Source organism: Homo sapiens, chromosome 16 (genome assembly GCF_000001405.40).
Source record: "Homo sapiens chromosome 16, GRCh38.p14 Primary Assembly".
Lineage (NCBI taxonomy): Eukaryota > Metazoa > Chordata > Mammalia > Primates > Hominidae > Homo > Homo sapiens.
In genome coordinates, this window is record NC_000016.10 from 29,868,085 (window position 1) to 29,891,107 (window position 23,023).

Here is a 23,023-nt window from a genome sequence, read left to right on the forward strand (position 1 = left end):
GACGGGGGGGCTTTTATTTTTTTTTCTAGATGTGGGTGCTGGATGTGGGCATACGATTGGAGTGTTTAGTCTTTAAAAAAATTTTTTTGTGGCCAGGCACGGTGGCTTACGCCTGTAATCCCAGCACAGATCATGAGCTGAGGATATCAAGACCATCCTGGCCAACACGGTGAAACCCTGTCTGTACTAAAAATACAAAAAATTAGCCGGGCATGGTGGCACGTGCCTGTAGTCCGAGCTACTCGGGAGGGAGGCTGTGGCAGGAGAATCACTTGAACCTGGGAGGCGGAGGTTGCAGTGAGCTGAGATCGCACCACTGCACTCCAGCCTGGGCGACAGAACGAGACTCCGTCTCAAAATTTTTTTGTGTGTGTGGAGACGGTGTCTCACTGTGTTGCCCAGACTAGTCTTGAACTCCTGGCCTCAAATGATCCTCCTGCCTCGGCTTCCCAAAGTGCTGGGATTACTGGTGTGAACCACCACACCCGGCCTGTTGACACAGATGAGCTCATGGGTCCAAATCCAGCCTCCTGGCCACACGCCAGCACCTTAAGGTCTAGGTCTGTGGCATCTGGCAGGACTCCTCTTGCTTCTGAGGAGCCACCTCTGCCACCACCATTGGGGATGGGGACACTGAGCTATGGCCTTGCCCCTCTGAGCTTTGGGCTTCATGCCTGTGAGAACATATCACACTCATTACTAGCCAGAAAGCAGTGCAGTAGGCTTTGCAGTAGGCTAAATTCATTTTAGCATTTAGCATTTGCATTGCTAAATGCAAACTGCACAAAGTTTGGCCATTTATTGGAGCCTCCTGTGGAAGTCAATTCTCATCTCTGAGCCTTAGTTTCCTTATCTGAAAAAATGGATTAATAAATGATCCCTGTCCCGTAGGGTCCTTTAGAGAGTTAAAAGACATAATTGAGTCAGGCATGGTGGCTCATGCCTGTAATCCCAGAGACACACCGGACAGTATGGCGGGAGGATCGCTTGAGGACAGGAGTTCAAGACCAGTTTGGGTAACAGAGTGAACCCCCACCCCTAAAAAGGTAAACAAGTTAGCCAGGTGTGGTGGAGCACATCTGTAGTCCCAGCTGCTCAGGAGGCTAAGGCTGGAGGATCACTTGAGCCCAGGAGGTTGAGGCTGCAGTGAACTATGATGGTGCCACTGTACTCCAGCCTACACTACAGAGACACCGTCTCTAAAGAAAAAAACATAGGCCGGGCGTGGTGACTCATGCCTGTAATCCCAGCACTTGGGAGGCTGAGGCGGGTGGATCACTTGAGGTCAGGAGTTCGAGACCAGCCTAGCCAACATAGTGAAACCCCGTCTCTAATAAAATAAAAAAATTAACCGGGTGTGGTGGCAGGCTCCTGTAATCCCAGTTACTGGGGAGGCTGAGGCAGGAGAATCACTTGAACCCAGTAGGCAGAGGTTGCAATGAGCTGAGATTGCACCACTACACTCCAGCCTGGGTGACAGAGTAAGACTCAGTCGCAAAAAAAAAAAAAAAAAAAAAAGACAAAAAAACAACATAATGCATACAAAGTGCTTGCTATTATTGAGATCAGTTTGCCTCACATTCTCCTAAAAGTCCACCCCTTTCTGAATATTTCAGCATCCTTTCAAGTATCCTAAAAATGTTTAATTGCATTTAAATATAAAATTTTATTTTATTTGGGACGGAGTCTGGCTCTGTCGCCCAGGCTGGAGTGCAGTGGCGCAATCTCGGCTCACTGCCAGCTCCGCCTCCTGGGTTCACGCCATTCTCCTGCCTCAGCCTCCCAAGTAGCTGGGATTACAGGCGCCCGCCACTACGCCCAGCTAATTTTTTGTATTTTTAGTAGAGAAGGGATTTCACCATGTTAGCCAGGATGGTCTCGATCTCCTGACCTCGTAATCCGCCCGCCTCGGCCTCCCAAAGTGCTGGGATTACAGGCGTGAGCCACCATGCCCGGCTTAAATATAAAATTTTAATTAGGCCAGGCAAGGTGGCTCACACCTGTAATCCCAGCACTTTGGGAGGCCCAGGCAGGCAGATCACCTGAGGTCAGGAGTTCGAGACCAGCCTGGCCAACATGGCAAAACCCGGTCTCTACTAAAAATACAAAAATTAACCAGGCATGGGTGCCTGTAATCCTAGCTACTCGAAAGGCTGAGGCAGGAGAATGGCTTGAACCCAGGAGGTGGAGGTTGCAGTGAGCCAAGATCACGCCATTGTACTGCAGCCTGAGTGACAAGAGTGAAAAAAAAAAAAAAAAAAGATAAAGTGGAAAAGGACACCCCCAAGGATATAAAACAAGTTCAAATTGGTAGATGGGTCACAGCAGATACGCCTAAAATACTAAAAAGATTGGGGGGGGGGGAAGAAATGGTGTACTTGAATGGATACAAAAATTCTCCAAAGGGGGTGAATTTTAGGCAAACTGGTCATAAGACAAATTGAAAAGCCAGGCTTGGTGGCTCACGCCTGTAATCCCAGAACTTTGGGAAGTTGAGGAAGGAGGATTGCTTGAGGCCAGGTGTTCGAGACCAGCCCGGGCAGCGTAACAAGATCTCATTTCTACAAAAAATTTAAAAATTAGGCAGGCACCATGGCTTGCACCTGTAGTCCCAGCTACTCAGGATGCTGAGGCGGGAGGATCCCTTGAACCTAGGAGTTTGAGGTTGCAGTGAGCTGTGATGGCACCACTGCATTCCAGCCTGGCCGGCAGAGCCAGGCCCTGTCTCTAAAAAGAAAGAAATTGAAAGCTGTTTGCCTCCTGCCCAGCAGCGAGAGAAGACGGGTGGCTCCTGTCAGTTCTCTCCCATCTGGAAGAGGCCCACAATGTCAAGGAAGGCCTGGTGGAGAGGTCACTGCGTCCTGGAGTGAGGCTGGTCGCAGGGAGGCCTTCACAGAGGCTGAGCCTAAAGCCAGGCTTTTTTACCTCAGGCCAGGCCCCCGGACACTGCCCTCTGCCCACTTTCGCATTTCCTTTTTTTTTTTTTTTTTCAAATTGTTCCCCTTTCCCCAGCCCTCTCTCCAGAGAAGTGGTCCAGTGCTCGGTGACCACCTCCCCACACTCCACCGGCCCAATTACAAGTGGCGATTTTCTGTTTATTGCTCAAAAACAAGAATTCAGAAGCAAAGGTGGAGAGACTGTGGGTTGGGGAGATGGCAGGAAGGGGGCAAGGCCTTGTCCCAGCTCTCCCCTTTGTCCTTCTTCTGACCCTCCTGGCCGGAGTCAGGCCTAGGGCCAGGGCATCTGGGAGGGGGGCACCTTCGTGGCCAAGGGAACAGTAGAGCTATCGGGGGCAGTCCTTGAGGGGTGCCCTGGGCAGGAGGGGCTGCAAGATTTGCAGGGAGGCAGAGTTCCCCTCCCAGAATCCAAAAGCCGGTAGGGCGGGGGGCAGGCCCCTCGTTTGGCAACTGAGAAGAGGCGGCTTTGGGCGGCAGGATGCTGGTTTATTTACTGTAGGATCTCCAGGGCCATCAAAGCCCCCTCGTGGGATAGGGAGACTATTTACACAGCCAGGGAGGAGGGCAGCCAGGAGGCAGAGACCGGGTCCCGTATTTCCCTCTGCCCGAATGAGGAGGGGAGGGGCGTCCTGGGTCCTGCAGCTGTAGTCTTGGGGTTCAGATGGAAACTTCATACTCCCGCGTATCCTGAAGACAGAGAGATCAGGTCAGTTGTTGGAGTCTGATAGGGGTGGAAGAGGCAGCCGAATGGGAGGAGGGGCAACGATCCTGGGTTTTAAAGTAACATTGACCTCTAGGGGCTGGGGGGCCAGTGAATGTGTTTGGTTCATCCTACGGTGTCGTAAAATGACACAAAAATCTGAATTTCTGGCTTGTCTTGAATAATTGGAAGATCTGCCAATTGTGCCTCAGTTTCGACTATGGGGTAGAGCCGTATTCTTGAGATGGGGCACAAGTCCTCCACTTAGCCACAGTCCTCACCACTCCCTATTGTATACACATGGCTTGCTATGCTCATTGACATGGCCTCTGGGGGCAGCTGAGTTTGAAATTCCCAAGACAGAGATTCCAGAGACCTTGCGAGAAGGTTATGGAGTCCTGGGAGAGCCAAGTGGTGGCTCTTCAGGGGCAGGCAAGGTGCTTACCCCAGCTTCATACAGCGGGTTGCTGAAGTCCGACTCCACGGTGATGGGGCTGTAGGAGTGGGAGCCCGAGAAGCCGAAAAGGGACTTTCCCTGAAGCCTGGGAAAGGGAGAGGACAGAGGAGCTTATCAACAGGTAAGCCCCTGAGCTCCCCTGACCCAGGCTCCAGTGCCAGGCTCGCAAGACGTCTGCCCTGGCCGGCAGTCCCCAAGCAGGCTACTTACTTGGTGTAGTAGATGTAAACGCCACTGCCGAGGACAATGACCAAGCCTAGAGGCAGCAGGATGGCCAGGGCCAGGTTCCCCCCTTCCAGCTGCCGTGATGGATCTGTGGTCTGGGTCACTACAGGAGGAGGAGAGGCCGGTGAGCTGTGGCTGGGCCCGGTCCTGGGCTCTCCCAGCCTCCTGCCCTGGGCCTCAAACCCTGGGCTTCATCCCTCCAAGGCCTGGCCTCCTGCCCCAGCCTCTGCCTTGCCCTCCCAACCTGGCCAGCCTGGGTCTCCACCTGTGCTCTCACTGACCTTCCAGTTTTCGGTTGTCCAGGAGCTCCTCATAGGCAACTGCAGGGAGAGGAGGGGGAGGGGATGGGGTCTGAGCCAGGGAGGGGAGGAGGCTGGGAGGGGCCGGGAGCCCGGTGGGGCTGGGCTGGACAGCCTGGTTCTCTCTGCCCTCTGCTCAACCTCAACTTTCTCCCTTTGTGGGGAAGAGAGAGGAGTGACCAGCACAGGGCCTTTGTCCTCTTTCTCCAGACCCCTAAAAAGTCAGGGTTCCTGGACAGTCTGAGCCAAACTAGAACTTGTCAGCGATAGGGAAACTGAGGCCTATTCAGAGCAAGGGACTTCCAAGCCAAGGCCCCCTCTACTACACCCCTGAGCCAATCCCATGACCTCACACGACCCAGGGCTTCTGGACACACCCGTGAGGACACGAGGCCACAGGAGGAGAACCGGGAGCTCTGTGGGGTCGCCCATTGGTCTCAAATGTGCTACCTGACTCTCCCAGCCCTGTCACTTCCCGGACACTGGTGTGCCCCTCCTGCCCTGTCTGGCCAGGCACCTTTGCAGAGTGGGGGCTGGCTGGTCCACTGGGAGGGGTGGCCGGGCACACAGGTGATGGTGACCTCGCCGATAAGCTCAAAGCCCTCATAGCAGAAGAAGCGCAGAGACTCGCCCGCCTGGTAGTGGTGCTTGTACAGCGTCTGGTAGCCATTCTCGGGAACCCCCGGGTTCAGGCACGGCTCGTACTTCACTGCGGGGAGCATGCCAGTCACGTGCCAGCTGCACTACTGTGCACGGGGCAGACGGGCTCTCCCAGGGCTACCCAGCCACCCTCCCAGGGTGTGCCCCAGACTCACAGGCGCATTTGGGGACCCTATCGCTCCACTTGGGTGTGCCTGTGTCCCGGCTGTAGCAGGTGAGCATGGCTGCCCCCTCGAGGCTGTACCCTGGCAGGCAGCGGTACTGGACGTGGGAGCCAACGGGGAAGCCGGCGTCCGAGGCGGTGCGGTGCCCGTTGGCAATCTCGCCAGGGTCAGCACAAGTCATGACTGGTGGCAGAAGAACAAGGTCAGGGGGAGCGAGGGCCTTCAAAGATCAGCCTGGGCAACACAGAGAGACCCCATCTCTACAAAAAATTGAAAAATTAGCCAGGAGTGGTGGCGCACTCCTGTGGTTCCAGCTACTCAGGAGTTGGAGGCGGGATGATCGCTCGAACCCAGCAGGTCGAGGCTGCAGTGAATGGTGACCACGCTACTGCACTCCAGCCTGGGTGACAGAGTGAGACCCAGTCTAAAAAAAATAAAAGAAAATCTCCCAGAAGCTTAGGGCTGGGAGAGGCCTGAGCCTCAGGCTGTTTCCTCTGAACACCTCTGCACACACACGCACTTCCCACCAATTCCTCAGAAGGAAGAGAGCATGAATTGGAAAAACTTAAAATGCAGTGCATCTATTTTCAGGCCAGAATGACAGGCTTAATTTTTTTCAAAATTCAACGTATGTTATATTTCAGGCTTCGTTTAGTAAACAGTTTGCTTGGGGAAACCCCAAGCCCCTATCCTGGGGTGAAATTCAAAATATTTAACCACCATACCAGAGCATACTAGCCAAATCCCAGCAGGGTGAGCCCAACATGGCTTGTAGTCTGTGGAACAGCAGCTGCCCTCTTTAGAGGGGGCCCAGCTCTCCTGTCCCCAGTATTCTCATTATGCCCAGCCCAGTTCACTCACATACACTCCCTGCCTTCAGGCGTTTGAGTTTACAACCCTGTTGTGAAGGAATCATAATCATAGCCATTTCTTGTATATAAGCCTGAGCTACGTACCCTGCTAAATGTTTTACAAACAAATATAATTCTTTGTGTGTGTGCTTGTTTTTTTTTTTTTTTTTTTTTTTTTTTTTTTTTTTTTTGAGATGGGAGTCTCGCTCTGTCGCCCAGGCTGGAGTGCAGTGGCGCATCTCGGCTCACTGCAACCTCTGCCTTCTGGACTCAAGAGATTCTCCTGCCTCAGCCTCCCGAGTAGCTGCGATTACAGGCATTCGCTACCATGCCCAGCTAATTTTTGTATTTTTAGTATAGACAGGGTTTCGCCATGTTGGCCAGGCTGGTCTCGAACTCCTGACCTCAGGTGATCCACCCACCTCAGCCTCCACCAGTGCTGGGATTACAGGTGTGAGCCACCACGGCTGGCCCCAAATATAATTCTTTGTTTTGGAGACGAGAACTTGCTCTGTCACTCAAGCTGGAATGCAGTGGTGAGATCACGGCTCACTGCAGCCTCAAACTCCTGGGCTTAAGCAATTCTCGCACCACAGCCTTCTGAGTAGCTGGGACTACAGGCATATACCACCATGCCTGGCTATATTTTTTATTATTTGTAGAGACAGGGTCTCACTATGTTGCCCAGGCTGTTCTCAATCTCCTGGGCTCAAGTGATCCTCCCACCTTGGCCTTCCAAAGCACTGCAATTTCAGATGTGAGCCACCACACCTGGCACAAACATAATATTTAATCCTGATTATCCTGAGAGGCCAATGTCACTGTCATCTCCCTTGGAGCCCAGGGCTCAGGGCGGTCAAAGGACTTGGCCCATGGTCATTCAGCCAGGGAGTGGCAGAGCCGGAATCTGCCCAGGGTCACAGCCATGGAGCACTGGACAGGGACTCAGATATGTGGGTCCTGGCACACCTTCAGGCTCAATCTGCTGCCTTGGGCAGGTTCCCTCCTGAGCCCGAGGCAGCGGGGCCAGCCGAACTCTCAGCCCCATCCAGGCCTGATATCCTGTGAATCCTTCCAGGGGCGGGAAGCTTTGTCCAGCCCAAATCTGGCTACCTGAAGCTTCTCCCCTTGGTCCCACCATTGCTTCCAGATGCCACATGGAACTACAGCCCCATGTCCTTGGGGCTGGCTTCCTAAAATTTGGAGAAAGTAACCAGCTGCCATTCCTTTCTGCTCTTCAATTTTCTTTTTCTTTCTTTCTTTCTTTCTTTTTTTTTTTTTTGAGATGGAGTATCACTCCCGTGGCGCAGGATGGAATGCAATGGCACAATCTCAGCTTACTGCAACCTCCACCTCCCAGGTTCAAGCGATTCTCCTTCCTCAGCCTCCTGAGTATCTGGGATTACAGGCGTATGCCACCATGCCCAGATAGTTTTTTATTTTTAGTAGAGACGGGGTTTCACCATGTTGGCCAGGCTGGTCTCGAACTCCAGACCTCAGGTGATCCACCGCACCTGGCCCTTTCTGCTCTTCTAAAAGATACACACTCCCAGCTCCTTTAAATGTCACCTCCTCTGTGAAATCTCCTGCCCCAGCCCTGAGAAAATTAGCCCACTGCTCTCCCCACAGCACTTCGCCACGCCCAGGGCAGCATGCGCCCTGTGAACTTTCCATCTGCTCTTCACAACCTCAGTCCTACTTCGCCGATGGGGAAACCAAGCCTCAGAAATGCTAAGTGCCTCGCCCAAAGTCACCCAGTGATCACCACCCTGCGTATCCCTCCCAGACTGCGAGCTCCATAAGAGTATGGAGGGGCTTGAACCCCCTTCGCCTAACCCCAACCCAGCACGGGGCTTCAATGATGGCATTCAAATAAACCAAGTGCTCTGACAAGCCTTGGTCCTAGCAAAGTGGCTCCCTACAATTTCAACTGATAGGACTGCGGGATTGGGGCGGGGCGTAGGACAGGAAGGTGGAGCCAAGTGTGGACCCGGGGAGCCCAGTGGGAACCTGGTCGGAGCCCTTTTAGGGGCCAAACTCAGATGCCGCAGAGGAGGGGTCAGGAGGGGACGGGGCGGGGCCGTGAGACGAGGAAACAGGGACCGAGCCCAGGTCGGTGCAAGAAAGAGGGATGCAGCCCGGAGAAGATGAGAGGGAGACCCAGAGGGGACAGTTTCGGGGAACCGGGCGGAGGAGTGAGAACTAAAGGGCATGGGGGCAGGCCTTGAAGAAGATCCAGGAAGGACCCCGAGCGAAGGGATGGAACCCAGAAAGCACGGGGGTCGGGACAGGACAGGCCGACGACGGGGCCCACAGGGAAGGGGCGGGGCCGAGGGGACGCGGGCGGGGCCGGCTCACTCTTTTGGCAGGCGGGCGGCGCGGCGCTCCAAGACAGGTCCCACTGGCAAGTGAGAATGTCGGAGCCTAGCAGCTCGTAGCCAGGCTCGCACTGGTAGGTGAGCACCGTGCCCCGGATCAGGTCCCCGTGGGATGCCGTTCTCCAGCCCCACTCCGGAGGTGGCAGCTCGGGGCACGTGTCGTTCCTCGGGACCTCTGCAGGGGAGGGAAGGCGAGTTTGGAGGCTGCGTTTTAACTGCGGGCTCCCTTCCAGCCTCGGAGGCTTTGCTCTGTGCCCCCTCCCGGGATCTGTCTCTCTCTCTCTCTCTTAGAGACAGGGTTTCCTGTCGCCCAGGCTGGAGTACAGTGGTACAAGCATAGCTCACTGCAGCCTCAACCTCCTGGCTTCAAACGATCCTCCCGCCTCGGCCTCCCAAGGCCCCGGGATAACAGGCGTGAGCCACCACGACCGGCCACCTCCCGGGATCTCTGGCCTGCCCGACCCCTGCCCATCCCGGGACTCTATCCCTCAGTACCTTTGAAGTGCAATACGAAGCCCTGGCCCAGGCCTGGATTTGGGGGCCCGGGCGGTGCCTGAAACTGCAGTGTGAGGTCGGGCCCAGAGGAGAGAAGGCGGCGGCGCGGCTGAGGTCCCCGCAGCTGGGCCAAGACTCGGGCGCTGGGACCGTCCCCGTCGAACAGCGTCAGCATGTCCCCTTCCCGCACATTCAATCTGCAGGGGGTGAGACCAGGCAATGGGGCGGGGCTGCGACTGGCCCCTCCCATCCAGCTCTGCCCCATCCTCAACTCTGCTCATTGGTAGCCCCTCCTACTCTCCAGCCCCGCCCATATTCTCCTATCCCAGGTCTGGCGCCGCCTCCGTTTTGACCAACCATGGTTTCTCCTATGCTAGTGCCTCAGGGTTCCCCTATTCTATGGCTCCTCCCATGTCCTACTACCCAATCCCTAAGCTTGCACATTACTAACTCCGCCCACTGTCCACTCCCTCCTCCATCACCATGAGATCCACAGCCTAGCCCAACTCCAGCTCTGGCCAATCACAGACCAAATTCGCTAACGCCCTACACAACTCTAGGCCCCGCCTGAGTACCTGCTTTGAAGCCACGCCCACTTCAGCTTCTGTGCCATCTCATGACACTCTCATACCAATTCAGCTCACTGGATTCTCCCCAGACCTCCCCAACTTGCTGGTGTTAACGCAACAGTTTGGGTCTGTGTCCGTGGAAATAGCTCCAGGGGAAGCCTCAGAAACCTCCAAAGAGTGAGAGGCACCAGGCCAGAGCCCCTTGTTCACAGTGGCCCCTAAGGAAGGCTGCATTGCCCTATTTATTTGTCCGAGGTTGCCTGGCTAATATGTGATTTGAGCCCAGCTCTCTCACGTCTATCCTGTACCCTTAGTGCACCAGCCTATCCACCGAATTCTGGATAGATACGCAAGAGCCAGACAGGCTCAGAATGCAGGCTACTGCATTGGCATACCACACTTTGCTGAGCCTACACCCGTCGCACCCTCTGCAGGACCCAAACATACATCTCAACTTGGAGCAAGATGCGCTTCTCTTCCTGGACGTGCACGCCCCACACGCAGTCTTGGCCCGGGCTATAGCTCTGGGGCCAGTCGGGAGAGAGGACCACGCCAGCTGGTTCCGACAGCTCCCCTCCACACATGGCTAGGGAAAAAGGGGTGTCAGGTTCAGGACCCAGGTGGGCATGCTGTCTTCATTTCTCCACAGTCCTCACCACTCGTGATGCGTGCACCACATCACCTCGCTTGTTTCCTATTACCTATGATCCACCTGTTTCTTTTATTCTTTTATTTTATTTATTTATTTATTTTTAAATTTTTTTTGAGACGGAGTCTCTCTGTCGCCCAGGCTGGAGTGCAGTGGTGCGATCTTGGTTCACTGCAAGCTCTGCCTCCCTGGTTCACGCCATTCTCCTGCCTCAGCCTCCCGAGTAGCTGGGACTACAGGCGCCGCCACCACACCCTATTTTTTTTTCTTTTTTCTTTTTTTTTTTTTTTGTATTTTTAGTAGAGACGGGGTTTTACGGTGTTAGCCAGAATGGTCTCGATCTCCTGACCTCGTGATCTGCCCGCCTTGGCCTCCCAAAGTGCTGGGATTACAGGCGTGAGCCACCAGGTCCAGCCCCTATTTTTATTTTTTTAGACAGAGTCTCACTCTGTCGCCCAGGCTGGAGTGCAGTGGCGCAATCCCGGCTCACTGCAATCTCCACCTCGCAGACTCAAGCGATTCTCGTGCCTCAGCCTCCCAAGTAGCTGGGATTACAGGCACGCACTACCATGCCCGGCTAATTTTTGTATTTTTAGTAGAGACGGGGTTTCACTCTATTGACCAGGCTGGTCTCCAACTCCTGACCTCAGGTGATCCGCCTGCCTGAGCCTCCCAGAGTGTTGGGATTACAGGCGTGAGACACTGCTCCCGGCTTTATCCACCTGTTTCTTTTTTCTTTCTTTCTTTCTTTTTTGAGACGGAGTTTCACACTTCTTGCCCAGGCTGGAGTGCAGTGCTGCGATCTCGGCTCACCGCAACCTCCGCCTCCCGGGTTCAAGCGATTCTCCTGCCTCAGCCTCCTGAGTAGCTGGGATTACAGGCATGCATCACCATGCCCAGCTAATTTTGTATTTTAAGTAGAGACAGGGTTTCTCCATGTTGATCAGGCTGGTCTCGAACTCCCGACCTCAGGTGATCCGCCCGCCTCAGCCTCCCATAGTGCTGGTATTACAGGCGTGAGCCACCGTGCCCAGCCATGATCTACCTGTTTCTTGCCGCATCTAGGTCCTGTTGTGTTCAATATCCAGTCCTGCTCTTAACAAACCCTGCCCACTCTCCAGCCTGCCCAATCTGTGACTTAACCCAACAGCAGTTCTCGCTCTTGAAGACATTTGGGTTTGTGACCCCTGCATTCAGTAACAAGCCCAGCAGTTATTCAGCTAAGAAAACAGCCTCTGAAGGGACAGGGATTTACCCAAGGCTTGGGTGGATGAAGTCTGGATGTGCAGCCTTCCTTTCTGAACGGCCTTGCTGGGATCCCCAGTTCAGGGGGCAACGTGGACTGAAGGACATGCCTGCGACAAGGAAGGCTCACCTTTGCAGGCCGGCTCTGTGTCGTTCCAGTGGGGTTCTGTGGGATCCACACATTCGATGGCATTGGGGGGCCCAGGGGGCTCCAGGGCATATCCTGGGAGGCACGAGAAGGTTGCCAGTGCCCCTGGGCGATACTCAGGGTCCGTGGTAGTGACATTTCCATGTGCCAGGAAGGGGGCGAAGCAGCGATCCTCCTCAAAGGCTGGGAAGGAGTCAGTCATAACAATTAAGCATTAGGACAGGCCTCAAGGGATCTTAAATTGGGGATGTGGGCTGAATTGGGGTGTTCTTTGGCCACTCACTGGGCTTTTTTTTTTTTTTAAACAGTCTTGTGCTGTCGCCCAGGCTGGAGTGCAGTGGTACAACCTTGGCTCACTGCAGCCTCTGACTTCCAGGTTCAAGCAATTCTCATGCCTCAGCCTCCCAGGTAGCTGGGATTGCAGGCGTGCACCACCATGCCCAGCTATTTTTTTTTTTTTTGAGATGGAATTTCACACTTGTTGCCCAGGCTGGAGTGCAATGGCACAATCTTGGCTCACCGCAACCTCCGCCTCCTGGGTTCAAGCGATTCTCCTGCCTCCTGAGTAGCTGGGATTATAGGCATGTGCTACTACGCCTGGCTAATTTTTTGTATTTTTAGTAGAGACGGGGTTTCTCCAGGTTGATCAGGCTGGTCTCAAACTCCCGACCTCAGGTGATCTGCCTGCCTCGGCCTCCCAAAGTGCTGGGATTACAGGCATGAGCCACCGTGCCTGGCCAATTTTTGTATTCTTAGTAGAGACAGGGGTTTCACCATGTCGGCTAGGCTGGTCTTGAACTCCTGGCCTCGAGTGATCTGCCTGCCTCAGCCTCCCAAAATGCTGGGATTACAGACATGAGTCACTGCGCCCAGCCTGGGTTTTTTTTTAATTTTTTTAGAGACAGGGTCTCACTCTGTTGCCCAGGCTGGAGTGCAGTGGTGTGATCACAGCTCATTGCAGCCTAGATCTTCTAGGCTCAAGTGATCCTCCCACCTCAGCCTCTCTGGTAGCTGGGACTACAAGCATGCACACCCCACCCAGCAGCTCATTTTCTGATTTTTTTTTTTTTTCTGTAGAGATGGAGTTTCACCATGTTACTTAGGCTGGTCTCGAACTCCTGACCTCAGGTGATCCGCTGGCCTCGGCCTCCCAAAGTGCTGGGATTACAGGTATGAGCCATTGCCCTGGCGTTGGTGGGTTTTTAAAAACTGAATGCCACTGGGTTTAGCATTCACTCTCCAGACTGTCAAAAAAAGTTCTAACACTCCTCATTCACATATTTATATTGCCTCCCTGGCCTCTGGAGGGAAGCCACTGAGCTAGCCAAATCCCAGCCACCATTCTACAGAGCGGAGGTCCATAGACCAAAAAGCCACTTGCTCAAGGTCACACAAAAGACAATGGCAAAAGCAGGTCTCAAACCCAGATGGTTTGATTCCCAGCCACAGATACTTGGCTCTGGAAACAGCAGAGATAGCGGGTAAGGGGAGGGGTGCCTTCAGAGAACTGGCTGGTGTAGGTGTATTGTCTCCTCAGAAATAACAGTTGGATTCTGATCATCCATGCTGTTGCTGAAACCCAAAATTTCAGCTAATGCAAAAACTACTCAGTTTTTACTTCAAGTCAGCAAAAGTGAACATTTGTAGAGCATTTGAGTTTCTGCCCACCTGATCGGATCTTAGCTGCAAAACTCCCTGTAAGTTAAGATTTAGGTGCCTATGATACCAATGAGGAATTCTTTTTTTTTTTTTTTTTTTTTTTTGGGATGGAGTTTCGCTCTTGTTGCCCAGGCTGGAGTGCAATGGTGTGATCTCGGCTCACTGCAACCTCTGCCTCCCAGGTTCAAGTGATTCTCCTGCCTCAGCCTCCCGAGTAGCTGGGATTACAGGCACCCACAACCACCCCCGGCTAATTTTTGTATTTTTTTAGTAGAGATGGGGTTTTACCATGTTGGCCAGGCTGGTCTCGAACACCTGACCTCAGGTGATCCACCCGCCTCAGCCTCCCAAAGTGCTGGGATTATAGGCGTGAGCCACCATACCCGGCCTTTTTTTTTTTTTTTTGAGATTTTTAATTTTATTTTAATATTTTATTTTTTTATTTTTTGAGACTGAGTCTCGCTCTGTCGCCCAGGCTGGAGTGCAGTGGCATGATCTCACTTCACTGCAAACTCGGCTTCCCAGGTTCAAGCCATTCTCATGTCTCAGCCTCCTGAGTAGCTGGGATTACAGGCACGTACTACCACACCTGGCTAATTTCTGTGTTTTTAGTAGAAATGGGGCTTTGCCATGTTGCCTAGGCTGGTTTCAAACTCCTGGGCTCAAGTGATCCACCTGCCTCAGCCTCCCAAAATGCGGAGATTACAGGCATGAGCCACTGTGCCCGGGTTATTTTATTTATTTTTAAAAATGAGGCCAGATGCAGTGGCTCACACCTGTAATCCCCCCACTTTGGGAGGCTGAGGCAGGTGAATCACCTGAGGTCAGGAGTTTGAGACCAGCCTGACCACCATGGTGAAACTCCGTCTCTACTAAAAACACAAAAATTAGCTGGGCGTGGTGGTACATGCCTGTAATCCCAGCTACTCAGAAGGCTGAGGCAGGAGAACCACTTGAACCCGGAAGGCGGAGGTTGCAGTGAGCCGAGATTGCGCCATTGCACTCCAGCCTGGGTGACAAGAGCGAAACTCCATCTCAAAAAAAAAAAAAAAAGGAAAAAAATGAGACAGGGCCTTGCTCTGTCACCTAGGCTGGAGCGTGCAATGGTGGGATCACAACTCACAGCAGCCTTGACCTCCTGAGCTCAAGCGATCCTCCTGCCTCAGCCTCCCAAGCAGCTGGGACCACAAGTGTGCACCACCACACCTGGCTAATTTTTTGTTTTGTTTTGTTTTGTAGAGACAAAGGTCTTGCTATGTTGCCCAGGCTGGTCTCCAACTCCCAGGCTCAAGTGATCCTCCCATCTTAACCTCCCAAAGTGCTGGGATTACAGGCGTTAGCCATTGTGCCTGGCCACAGTGAAGAATCTTAAACTCATAGAATAGCAGTGGCCTACAACTCTGGAGTCAGGACTCACAACTTGCTATTTTCGGTAAAAGATCTGTGCTGTTTGCACTTTAACACTCCCAGAATCTATCCCGCAATTCATTTTTGCAGATCCACTGTTCTATTTCACTGTTACTTAACCTGCAAGGTATCATGTCCAAATCCTACCCATCCATCACAGCCGAGTGCCAATTCCATTTCTCCCATGATTCATATCAAACACTAGACCCTCCTATCTCTAAGCATTTCATCTTTTTGGTCTCTCTCTTGCTACTGTTTATACAACTCCTCTGTTTCAGCCACAATGAAATTCTGTTTCCCAGACATACCAGGCATTTCCCTACTTGCTGTTTCTCAAAGTTCCTCTCTTTCCTTTTCTTTTCTTTTCTTCTTTTTTTTTGACAGGGTCTTGCTCTGTTGCCCAGGCTGGAGCACAGTGGTGCAATCATAGCTCACTGCAACCTCTGGGGTTCAAGTGGGGTTCAAGTGATCCTCCCACCTCAACCTTCCATGTAGCTGGGACTAGAGGTGTGTGCCACCACACCTGGATAATTATTACTTTTTTTTAATTTGTAGACACAGGATCTCACTATGTTGCTCAGACTGGTTCTCAAACTCCTGGCCTCAAACAATCATCCCACCTTGGCCTCCCAAAGTACTGGGATTAGAGACACGAGTCACCACAACTGGCCTCAATCTTCCTCTTTTAAAATATCCTCTGTTGGCTGGGCAGGGTGGCTCACGCCTGTAATCCTAGCACTTTGAGAGGCCGAGGTGGGAGGATCACTTCAGCTCAGTAGTTGGAGACCAGCCTGGGCAACATAGTGAGATGCTGTCTCTACAAAAAATGTAAAAATTACCCAGGCATGGTGCCGAACGCTTGTGGTCCCAGCTACTAGGGAGGCTGAGGCAGGAGGATCACTTGAGCCCAGGAGGTTGAGGTTGCAGTGAACCATGATCGGGCCACCGCACTACGGCCTGGGCGACAAAGCAAGACCTATTTCAATAATAATAATAATAATAATAAAATACCCTCTATCCTTTAAGGCCAAGGTGAAATGCCTCTTCCTCCATGATCACTTCCTTGTTTCTACCCCTTCACATTCATTCCTCTTCTTCTGGTAACGGCATCCCAATTTTAATTTTGGGACGCAGGCCTTCCCCACTCCCAGTCCACTAGGTTAAGTTGGAGCCCACCAGGGAAGGCCACGTGAGGCAGATTAGCCAATCCCAATACTCCCTTCTCCTAGCTCAGTGATTGGCTCAGGCTAAGGCCAACCAGGATCTTAGTCAGGTCAATGAACGCCTCTCCTGGCATTTTTGCTGAGCTCTCAGGAAATATATGAGTGTTCTCTCTGATGAGGTTACTCGGTTGGTGGTATGGGCTGGAGGAGGTGGCTTACACCTGTAATCCTGGCACTTTGGGAGTCCCACATGGGCGAATCACTTGAGCCCAGGAGTTCAAGACCAGCCTGGGCAACATGGTGAAACCCCGTCTCTACTAAAAACCCAAAAATTAGCTGGGCGTGGTGATGCATGCCTGTAATCCCAGCTACTCGGGAGGCTAAGGAATGAGAATCGCTTGAACCTGGAGGAGGGGGGCTGCAGTGAGCTGAGATCGCGCCACTGCACTCCAGCCTGGGCGACAGAGAGGAACTCTGTCTCAAAATAAATAAATAAATAAAAATAAATAAAAACTAAAAACTGTCAGGCGCAGTGGCTCACGCCTGTAATCCCAACACTTTGGGAGGCGGAGGCGGGCAGATCACCTGAGTTCGGGAGTTCCAGACCAGCCTGACCAACGTGGAGAAACCCCATTTTTACTAAAAATACAAAATTAGCTGGGCATGGTGGCGCATGCCTGTAATCCCAGCTACTCGGGAGGCTGAGGCAGGAAAATCGCTTGAACCCGGGAGGCAGAGGTTGCGGTGAGCCGAGATCATGACATTGCACCCCAGCCTGGGCAACAAGAGCAAAACTCCGTCTCAAAATAAATAAAGGCCGGGCGCGGTGGCTCACTCCTGTAATCCCAGCACTTTGGGCGGCCGAGGCAGGCGGATCACAAGGTCAGGAGATCGAGTCCATCTTGGCTAACACGGTGAAACCCCGTCTCTACTAAAAATACAAAAAAATTAGTCGGGCGCGGTGGCGGGTGCCTGTAGCCCCAGCTACTCGGGAGGCTGAGGCAGGAGAATGGCGTGAACCCGGAAGGCGGAGCTTGCAGTGAGCCAAGATGGCGCCACTGCATTCCAGCCTGGGTGACAGAGCGAGACTCGTCTCAAAAAATAAATAAATAAATAAATAAAATAAAAATTAAGTTGGTGGTATGTAAGTCGGCAGCTATGTCCATCACACAGGGAAAGTGCCTAAGGATGAAGCCAGCACAGAGGAAAGAACCGAGATACTGAGATAACTGGTCTCTGGGCTATGTACCTGGATCCAGACATTCATGAAGCTTAAACAGAGAAGGCTGCCTGGGGGAAGGAGAAGGGGTCCCTAGAAGAGATCCTTGCAGTTTTGGGGCAGGGAAGCGAGTCACGTTTCAAGGAACCCAGCACGGAGATGAACAGGCATAGAGTTTGTGCTTCCGACTATGCTTGGTGTCAGGAAGAGGGGAAGGTGTGGCGGTTGGGGTCCTGTGGGGGAGTGGGTCACTTACCTTCAAATCGAAGGCTTAACAGCAGGGGATTGGCAGGTGTCTCTGACAGCAGCTCCACGTAGAGGGACTGGGCGTCACTGATGAGACCCCGCTCGGGGACATCGTCCATGTCCGAATCATAGATCACGGGGGATAGGGGGCTGCCCCCTGAGCGCACCATCAGCCTGGGATGGACAGAAACGTGACCAGGAGCTCAATCTCCCTCACAAGCTGCCTCACCCCTTGCCTGCTTTCCTAACTTATTTTTATAGCTGTTATCATCACACATAACTATATGCCACGCACTCTTCTAAGCCCTTACACATTCTATCTCATTTAATTTTCACAAGAACTCTTGAGTCAGACACTATTATTATCCTTTATTTTATAGATGAGGATATTAGGGCATAGAAAGATCAAGTAACCTGTCCAAGGTCACAGAGCAAGTAGTGGCAGGGCTGAGATACCAAGTTGCTAGGTAAAGGATGATAATGATGATGAAGATAGCAGATGCTTGACCAGGCATGGTGGCTCAGCTCACACCTGTCATCCCAGCACTTTGGGAAGCCAAGACGGGTGGATCACCTGAAGTCAAGGAGTTCAAGACCAGGCTGGCCAACATGGTAAAACCCCATGTTTACTAAAAATACAAAAATTAGCCAGGCATGGTGGTGCATGCCTATAATCCCAGCTACTCAGGAGGCTGAGGCAGGAGAATTGCTTGCATCTGGGAGGTGGAGGTTGCAGTGAGCTGAATCCGTGCCACTGCACTCCAGCCTGGGTGACAGAGCGAAAGTCTGTCTCCAAAAATAAATAAATAGATAAATAAGGCCAGGTGCAGTGGTTCATGCCTGTAATCCTAGCACTTTGGGAGGCTGAGGTGGGTGGATCACGAGGTCAGGAGATCGAGACCATCCTGGCTAACACGGTGAAACCCCAACTCTACTAAAAAAAAAAGTACAAAAAATTAGCCGGACGTGGTGGCACACGCTTGTAGTCCCAGCTACTCGGGAGGCTAAGGCAGGAGAATAGCTTGAGCCTGGGAGACAGAGGTTGTAGTGAGCCGAGATCGCACCACTGCACTCCAGCCTGGGCGACAGGGTGAGACTCCATCTTAAAAAAAAAAAAAAAAGAGGATAGCAGACACTTTTATAGTGCTTATTGTCCCAGGTGCCATTCTAAGGACTTTATATAATTTCAGCACTTATCCTCACAGAAACCTGAAGAGGGAAGTATTGTTATCTCCATTCTACAGATGAGGAAACTGAGGCACAAAGAAGTTAAGTGATTTGTCTAAGGTTTCACAGCTACACTTCCTAAGAAAGTCTTAGGACTGGCTGGGTGTGGTGGCTCACGCCTATAATTCCAGCACTTTGGGAGGCCAAGGTGGGCAGATCACCTGAGGTTGGGAGTTTGAGACCAGCCTGACCAACATGGAGAAACTCCATCTCTACTAAAAATGCAAAATTAGCTGGGCATGGTGGTGCATGCCTGTAATCCCAACTAATCAGGAGGCTGAGGCAGGAGAATCACTTGAACCCGGGAGGCAGAGGTTGCGGTAAGCCAAGACTGCGGCACTGCACTCCAGCCTGGGCAACAAGAGTGAAACTCTGTCTCAAAAAAAGAAAAAAAAAAAAAAAAAGGCTTAGGACTAAGCTGTGATGCATATCTCAACCAGGATCCACCCCAGCTGTGTCCAAGTCCCCACTTAGCCTCCCTACTTCCCTGAGGTGGGGACTTCTTTTTTTTTTTTTGAGACGGAGTCTCATTCTGTCTCCCAGGATGGAGTGCAGTGGTGCGATCTTGGCTCACTGCAAGCTCTGCCTCCCGGGTTCACGCCATTCTCCTGCCTCAGCCTCCCGAGTAGCTGGGACTACAGGTGCCCACCACCATGCCCGGCTAATTTTTTTTTTTTTTTTTTGTATTTTTAGTAGAGATGGGGTTTCACCGTGTTAGCCAGGATGGACTCGATCTCCTGACCTTGTGATCCGCCTGCTTCGGCCTCCCAAAGTACTGGGATTACAGGCATGAGCCACCATGCCCGGCCAAGGTGGGGACTTCTGACCCAAGACCCAGACCCTTACCGGTCATTGTCCTCATCCAGCGAGACCCTTTCAAAGTGCAGGTGCAGCCGGCGCCCCTCAGCTGCTTCAATGACCCAACGGCAGGTGAGGTTGGGCCCTACGGCTCCCCCAGGCTCTGGGGACACGATGCGGCCCAGGGTGGCATTGTGGATGGTGCCACCACAGGATGCTGTGGGCAGAGGAGGGGTACGTTAAGGCCAGCCTGAGGTGAACTGTCCTTCTCCTCGGGGCCTCGGCCCGTTTTCAGAACTGTTGCATTCACACATTTGGCTGGGACCCGGCCCAGGGCTGGCCTCTGTCCCATGGAGTCACTCCAGAGGATGGGACCTTCTCCAGGCATGAGCCAGGAAAGAAACCAGCCCCGGTACGGGAGAACCCCAGGATTGACACCTCCTAGGATGGAGACACCACTAAAATGAAGACTCTCCAACTGCGGATACTCTAGGATGGGGAGTTACAAGGATCCCTAAAATTCAAAGCCTCAGCTGGGAAATCTTCAGGACAGGACTTTCAGAGTGAAGACACCACGGGATGGGAATCCCAGTAAGAGGCTCTCTAGGATAGAAGCCCTCTGGACATGAACCCTAAAAATGGCTTCCTCTAGGATGAGGACGCTACCCCAGAAGGGACCTCCAGAATGGTGACTCCCAAAATAAAATCTCCAGTGGGACACCCCGAGATGGAGACCACCCAAGGATGGAGAAACCCCAAGGAGAGAGACCCTCCGCACAAAGAGCTCTGGCTGCAGACCCCAGGATGGGGACTCCTCAGGGTAAACACCCCTTCAGAATGGGTTTTCCCCAAAGGTGGACACCTGGACACCCCCGAGATAGGACCCTCCCAATGGGGTTCCCAGAACAGATGCCCCACCCACTGTGGCAGGAGACTCACCCATGCAGCTGGGGGTTTCACCGTTCCAGGATGGCCGGGTGCCATTGAGGCAGATGAGGGTCTCCTCTCCCTGCAGCTGGTAGCCCGAATCACAGTGAAAGGTGGCAGTGCCCCCAGGGTGCAGGTCCGTCACACTCACGTCCCCATGGGCCGGCCGGGGAGGGAAGCCACAGCTCAGGAGGTAGGCTGCACCAGACAGACAGCGGGTAGCAGGGCTCACTTTCCCATGCCACCCTCTCATACTGATCCCCCAGCACTTCCCCCCTCTCCTTTCAGGCCAACCTTCCAGGGGCACACACTGGCTCCATACTGGCGTACATACCGAGAAATAAGAGCTCCTCACACAGGCACCTTGCCTCGCGAACAGGAAACTCCAACACCCCTTATCTCCCCCACTCATTGTAATTCACCCTCGTTGGCCCCCATTTTATAGATGAGGTATCTGAGGTTCAAACAAGTTATTCTGGACCCCGCTACTCATTTGTTGTGTGACTTCAGGCAAATCAATGAACTACTCTGAACTTCATCCAGCTGTAATAACAGTATTTGCAGAGCTTGTTCAGCTCCCAAAGTGAGTCCACACAGAGATTTTGAGGTCAGCAGACAAAGATTATGTGACCTGGCTAGGCATGCTGGCTCACGCCTGTAATCCCAGCACTTTTGGAGGCCGAGGCAGGTGGATCACGAAGTCAGGAGTTCGAGACCAGCCTGGCCAACATGGTAAAACCCCGTCTCTAAAAAATACGAAAATTAGCCAGGCGTGGTGGTGGGTGCCTGTAATCCCAGCTACTTGGTAGGCTGAGGCAGGAGAATCACTTGAACCCAGGAGGCAGAGGTTGCAGTGAGCCGAGATCGTCCCATTGCACTCCAGCCTGGGCGACAAGAGCAAAACTCTGTCTCAAAAAAAAAAAGATTATGTGACCTGTTTTGCAGGTGTGAACACTGAGGCTCCAAGTTATTAAATGTCTCTTTTGATTTTTCTTCCCTCCACACACACAGCCTTTCTTCCACCAAGGTGCCCTGTGGTATACCCTCAGCTCCTCAGCTTCCATCCAGAAGAACCACTTGAAACTTCTTTTTTTTTTTTTTTTTTTTTTTTTTTTTTTGAGATAGGGTCTCACTGTGTTGCCCAGGCTGGAGTGCAGTGGTGTGATCATAGCTCACTGGAACCTTGAACTCCTGGCCTCAAGCAATCCTCCTGACCCAGCCTCCCAAGTAGCTGGGACTACAGGTTTGTGCCACCATGCCCCGCTAATTTTTAAATTTTTTGTAGAGATGACATCTCAGTATGTTGCCCAGGCTGGTCTTGAACTCCTGGCCTCAAGCAAACATGAAACTTGTTGAGGAAATTTGACTATTTTGTCTTTTTGTTTTTGTTTTTGTTTTTGAGGAGAAGTCTCACTCTGTTGCCCAGGCTGGAGTGCATTGGCGCAATCTCGGCTCACTGCAACCTCCGTCTCCCGGGTTCAAGCGGTTCTCCTGCCTCAGCCTCCCAAGTAGCTGGGATTACAGGTGTGTGCGACCATGCCTAGCTAATTTTTGTATTTTTAGTAGAGATGGGATTTTACCATGTTGGCCAGGGTGGTCTCGAACTCCTGATCTCTTCAGACCTCCTGACTTCACTTTCACTGGGGGATTCATTTACAGGCCACTGAGTATTAAGATCTTTAAAGACAAAATAGTCTTTAAAGGCACAGTGGCTCACGCCTGTAATCCTGGCACTTTGGGAGGCTGAGGCGGGCGGATCACCTGAGGTCAGGAAAAAGACCCAGGCCTTGTCCTCAGGAGTCCATTGTCTACTGAGATGAACATAAGAACAACCTTCTAGAACAAAGTGGTTTCAATAAATGGTAGCTTTGGGAATGGCTGCCCATGCCCAACAGAATCAAGTCTGAATGCTTTAGTTTGACATTCAAGCCCCTTCCATAGTTAAATGCAGCCCAGCACATTCCAGGTTCAGGGTTGATCTCCCAAGACCGATATAGCCTACACAACACAGTTTTGTGACTCCTTAATTTTCCACCTCCATATTTTCGCTTGTGCTCTCCCCCTACTTTCTCATCTTTTAAGAGATCAGACTGGGGGGCTTATGTACCACCTCTTCCAGGAAGCCTTCCTGACTCTACATCTCTCCAACAGTTACTTGTTCTCTTACCTGTACACAGTCCTGCATGCATGATTTTGTCATCACATTAACCATTGTCTTTTTTTTTTTTTTTTTTTTTTTTTGAGAGGGTCTCACTCTGTCACCCAGTCTGGAGTGCAGTGGCTTGATCTCAGCTCATTGCAACTTTTACCTCCCGGGTTCAAGTAATTCTCCTCCCTCAGCCTCCCAAGTAGCTGGGATTATAGGCGTGTGCCACGACTCCTGGCTAATTTTGGTATTTTTATTATTATTTATTTTATTATTATTATTTTTTGAGACGGAGTATTGCTCTGTCACCCAGGCTGGAGTGCAGTGACACGATCTTGGCTCACTGCAACCTCCGTCTCCCAGGTTCAAGCAATTCTCCGGCCTCAGCCTCCTGAGTAGCTGGGATTACAGGCATGTGCCACCATGCCCAGCTA

At 52.2% G+C, this 23,023-nt stretch overlaps 1 protein-coding gene across 9 annotated transcripts in view, besides 2 other annotated features; it reads right to left on the minus strand.

Annotated features, from left to right (window-relative positions):
* The window catches only part of SEZ6L2 (seizure related 6 homolog like 2), a 28,392-nt gene continuing 8,443 nt past the window's right edge, over window positions 3,075-23,023 (minus strand). For 4 of the 9 annotated variants that reach the window (NM_001243333.2, NM_012410.4, NM_001114100.3 and 1 more), the window contains 13 exons: window positions 20,456-20,641; window positions 19,565-19,733; window positions 17,502-17,665; window positions 11,780-11,980; window positions 10,203-10,341; window positions 9,187-9,383; window positions 8,672-8,866; window positions 5,454-5,645; window positions 5,156-5,347; window positions 4,621-4,659; window positions 4,325-4,442; window positions 4,103-4,199; window positions 3,075-3,644 (listed from right to left, as the gene is read on the minus strand). In NM_001243333.2, the coding sequence (NP_001230262.1) occupies window positions 3,615-3,644; window positions 4,103-4,199; window positions 4,325-4,442; window positions 4,621-4,659; window positions 5,156-5,347; window positions 5,454-5,645; window positions 8,672-8,866; window positions 9,187-9,383; window positions 10,203-10,341; window positions 11,780-11,980; window positions 17,502-17,665; window positions 19,565-19,733; window positions 20,456-20,641 (1,919 nt within the window). In that variant the 3' untranslated portion in view covers window positions 3,075-3,614. The remainder of the gene's footprint in view (window positions 3,645-4,102; window positions 4,200-4,324; window positions 4,443-4,620; window positions 4,660-5,155; window positions 5,348-5,453; window positions 5,646-8,671; window positions 8,867-9,186; window positions 9,384-10,202; window positions 10,342-11,779; window positions 11,981-17,501; window positions 17,666-19,564; window positions 19,734-20,455; window positions 20,642-23,023) is intronic. The other 5 variants (NM_001114099.3, NM_001388363.1, NM_201575.4 and 2 more) reach the window with 3 other exon arrangements.
* Window positions 9,602-10,103: an enhancer, noted in NCBI's record as "H3K27ac hESC enhancer chr16:29889007-29889508 (GRCh37/hg19 assembly coordinates)". NCBI's record gives its function as "activates a minimal SCP1, AML or CMV promoter by ChIP-STARR-seq in primed H9 embryonic stem cells {active_cell/tissue: H9 hESC(primed)}" and the evidence as "EXISTENCE:reporter gene assay evidence [ECO:0000049][PMID:30033119]".
* Window positions 10,104-10,603: an enhancer, noted in NCBI's record as "H3K27ac hESC enhancer chr16:29889509-29890008 (GRCh37/hg19 assembly coordinates)". NCBI's record gives its function as "activates a minimal SCP1, AML or CMV promoter by ChIP-STARR-seq in primed H9 embryonic stem cells {active_cell/tissue: H9 hESC(primed)}" and the evidence as "EXISTENCE:reporter gene assay evidence [ECO:0000049][PMID:30033119]".